This window comes from Homo sapiens, chromosome 1 (genome assembly GCF_000001405.40).
Source record: "Homo sapiens chromosome 1, GRCh38.p14 Primary Assembly".
Taxonomy (NCBI): Eukaryota; Metazoa; Chordata; class Mammalia; order Primates; family Hominidae; genus Homo; species Homo sapiens.
In genome coordinates, this window is record NC_000001.11 from 9,276,583 (window position 1) to 9,280,080 (window position 3,498).

Here is a 3,498-nt window from a genome sequence, read left to right on the forward strand (position 1 = left end):
CTTGAATCCTGGAGGCGGAGGTTGCAGTGAGCCAAGATTGCGCCACTGCACTCCAACCTGGGTGACAGAGTGAGACTCTGTCTCAAACAAACAAAAAAATTCATCACGTAACGAAAAACCATTTGTTGGCAATTGAAATAAAATATATATGTATATATAATATTCTAATGAAAAAATATAAAAATAAAATGACCCAGTAGGTACAAATTTCTTTGTAATGGAAGACAAATGCTGATATAATTTAAATCACAATAACAGCCAATGGCCTAAAAAAGAAAGGAAGGGAGGGTTTAGAAGACTCTCGAGATAGCCCAGGCACAGGTGGAGGCCCAGAAAAGCTTTAGGTCAGGAGAAAGGCGTAAACCCCAGGTCACTTGCTATGTAGGCAGCTGCAGGGATGCAGGGCACCCACAGTGAGAGAGAGAGAAAAGGCTGCCCTGGGCTGGAGGCCACAACACCAGACCCCGAAATCCTCCTTTAAGAGGTCTTGAGCCCCTGTGTATTAGTCTGTTTTCACGCTGCTGATAAAGACATACCTGAGATTGGGTATTTTATTTTGTTTTGTTTTGTTTTATTTTATTGAGATGGAATCTCGCTCTGTCACACAAGCTGGAGCACAGGGTACGATCTTGGCTCACTGCAACCTGTGCCTCCAGGGTTCAAGCAATTCTCCTGTCTCAGCCTCCCCAGTAGAGTAGCTGGGACTACAGGTGTGCACCACCATGCCCAGCTAATTTTTTTTTTTTTTTTTGAGATGGAGTCTCGGTCTGCCACCCAGGCGGGAGTGCAGTGGCACAATCTCGGCTCACTGCAAGCTCCACCTCCTGGGTTCATGCCATTATCCTGCCTCAGCCTCCCCAGTAGCTGGGACTACAGGCGCCCACCACCACGCCTGGCTAATTTTTTTTTGTATTTTTGTAGAGACAGGGTTTCACCGTGTTAGCCAGGATGGTCTCAATCTCCTCACCTCGTGATCCGCCTGCCTCGGCCTCCCAAAGAGCTGGGATTACAGGCATGAGCCATCGCGCCCAGCCTAATTTTTGTATTTTTAGTAAAGACAGGGTTTCACCATGTTGGTCAGGCTGGTCTCAAACTCCTGACCTCAAGTGATCGGCCCACCTCGGCCTCCCAAAGTGCTGGGATTACAGGTGTGAGCCACCCCACCCGGCCCAGACTGAGTAATTTATAAAGCAAGAAAGGTTTAATGAACTCACAGTTCTACGTGGCCAGGGAGGCCTCACAATCATGGCAGAAGGTGAGAGGCACATCTTACATGGTGGCAGACAAGCAGAGAATGAGAGCCAAGTGAAAGGGGAAACCCCTTATAAAATCGTCAGATCTCATGAGACTTATTCGCTACCGGGAGAACAGTACTGGGAAAACCGCGCCCATGATTCAATGACTTCCCACCGGGTCTCTCCCACAACACTTGGGAATTCTGGGAGCTACAATGCAAGGTGAGATTTGGGTGGGGACAGAGCCAAACTGTATCAGCCTGGTTCTAAACTCTCCCTCTCCAAGCCACTAGATTTCCATGCCACACCTCACTTTGATCCTGAATTTGGGCCATCACTTGCTATATTTCCCAGGACTCCTTTGGTTGCAAGGGACAGCAACCCAACTCGAACTAAATTTAAAAATGAAAAAATAAAAATAAAAGGAAATGTCCTGGCCCTTCTCCTTGGAAGGCCCCAGGGGTGGAAACAGCTTCAGCAGAGCTGGGTCCAGGGACGTTAAGCAACGTCGCCAGGAAACTGTGAGTTCAGCTCCCTTTGCATTCACGTTGCCAGATTGAGCAAGTCAATCTTCAAGATGCCTAGTTAAGTTTGAATTTCAGATAAAGAACAAATACAGTTTTAATATAAGTATGTCCCTTGCAACATTTGAGACATACTTATACTAAAAGTTATCTGCTGTTTATTTGAAATCCAAATGTGCCTAGGTGTCCTCTGTTTTATCTGGCAGCTCCACCGTCTGTATCGGCCATTTTCTTGCCTCCTGCATTTGGCTTTTCTTGTAAGGGAAAACGGCTCCAAGTAGCTCTCAGTGTCTTGATGGCCCAAGATGCCAGAGGAAGGGAGGCCATCGAGCTGCATGGCTGCACCTTGTACATCCTAGGGAGGCCCTGGCTGGGTCTGTCGTGGATGCCGTGGCTGCAGCATTGGGAAGCCCCTGGGGTGCCTTCTCACTTCCCCCAACACCAGCAGCCTCCTCCCTCCTCCACCAATTCTTGGGTAGGACTGGTTGAGAGTTTCTCAGTCTTTGTCAAGGGCTGTGCCAAGGCAGTTTCAAGCCTGGCTGTGCTCTCTCTTCCAATCGGATTCTGCCCAGAGCCCCTCCCCATGGGGATTCTGGTAGGGTTCACGTCTGAATCGATCACTTGCTGGATTGGGATGGGGGCCGGTTGTCCATCCCTGGAGTGTTGCACAGCCCTGGGTGGGATGCTCCCAGAAGGAAATGCTGAGCACAGAACCACACATATCTGTGCAGGGGCTGGAGGTGAAAGTTCCAAGGGATCCCGGAACTTGTCACTAAGCGTCTACCAGGCCATAGAAATCAGGACAGCCTAGTGAACAGAAAAAACAACTTTAGCAGTTGTGATTCCATGTTCCAGGGAAGGGAATATCCACCCAAAAGTTTTTCTAATCATAAAGTTATTTCAGAAGCAAGTCATGCCCCAAGAAAACCACACCGAGGGGTGTGTTTATAACCAGAGCCTTACAGGCAGTTGGCTCCAACGCCCACCTGCATTGGAGAGCAAAGTTCACAGGAGACTGAGGTGGGAGGGGAAGAAGCCTCTTCCTGCTCTGAGAATCCGCATGGGTCGCAGTGCTTCCCTTCCTCAGCTCCCCCACCGCAGGCTGCTAAAATGACCCCGAGTGCCTCAGAAATCTCAGGGCCACCGCAGCCTCTCCCCTCTCAGCCATGGTTCGATTCCTCATAAATATTAAGACTTCATGTGCTCCTGCGTGGATTTTCACCAAGTCCTAAAATGCAGTGTAGACGCTCCAGGGAAGAGGAAGCAAGTGACATTCCTGGCCCGCTCTTACGCCACGAGCTCTGCAGACGCCGAAAGGTTGCTCACAGGAGGCGGAAAGTGCCAGGGGTTGGGCCTGAGGTCATGCAGAGGCCAACTGTGGGCCGGGGTCCCAGCGGCAGCCTCCCCACCGAGGGCTGTGTTGAACCCTGGAGAGAGAGGGCGAGAGAGAGAGAGCGAGAGAGAGAGAGAGAGAGACAAAGCGAGCGAGAGAGAAAGCTAGCATGAAGGCTTGTTGGAGGCCTGACTCCCCAAGGCCAGACCCTAAGGCCTTGAAGGTCAGCCAAGAAGTTGACCAAGCCAAGAAGTCCTGAGACTTGGAGCCACAGGGCCAGTGGGGCACCATCTCCCCAGAACAAAAACTGTACCCCAAGAATTGAAGGGAAATATTATTTTTACTCTGAAACGTTCTGGAGCAGAATGCAAAATTCCATCCCTTTCAAATAGAAAACACAAGCTAT

The 3,498-nt window shown here is 49.9% G+C and overlaps 1 annotated feature.

Annotated features, from left to right (window-relative positions):
- Window positions 2,741-2,910: an enhancer, noted in NCBI's record as "experimental_9566 CRE fragment used in MPRA reporter constructs". NCBI's record gives its function as "activates a minimal promoter by MPRAs in K562 erythroleukemia cells, with activity observed for both the introgressed and non-introgressed 1:9339467 variant alleles {active_cell/tissue: K562}" and the evidence as "EXISTENCE:reporter gene assay evidence [ECO:0000049][PMID:34662402]".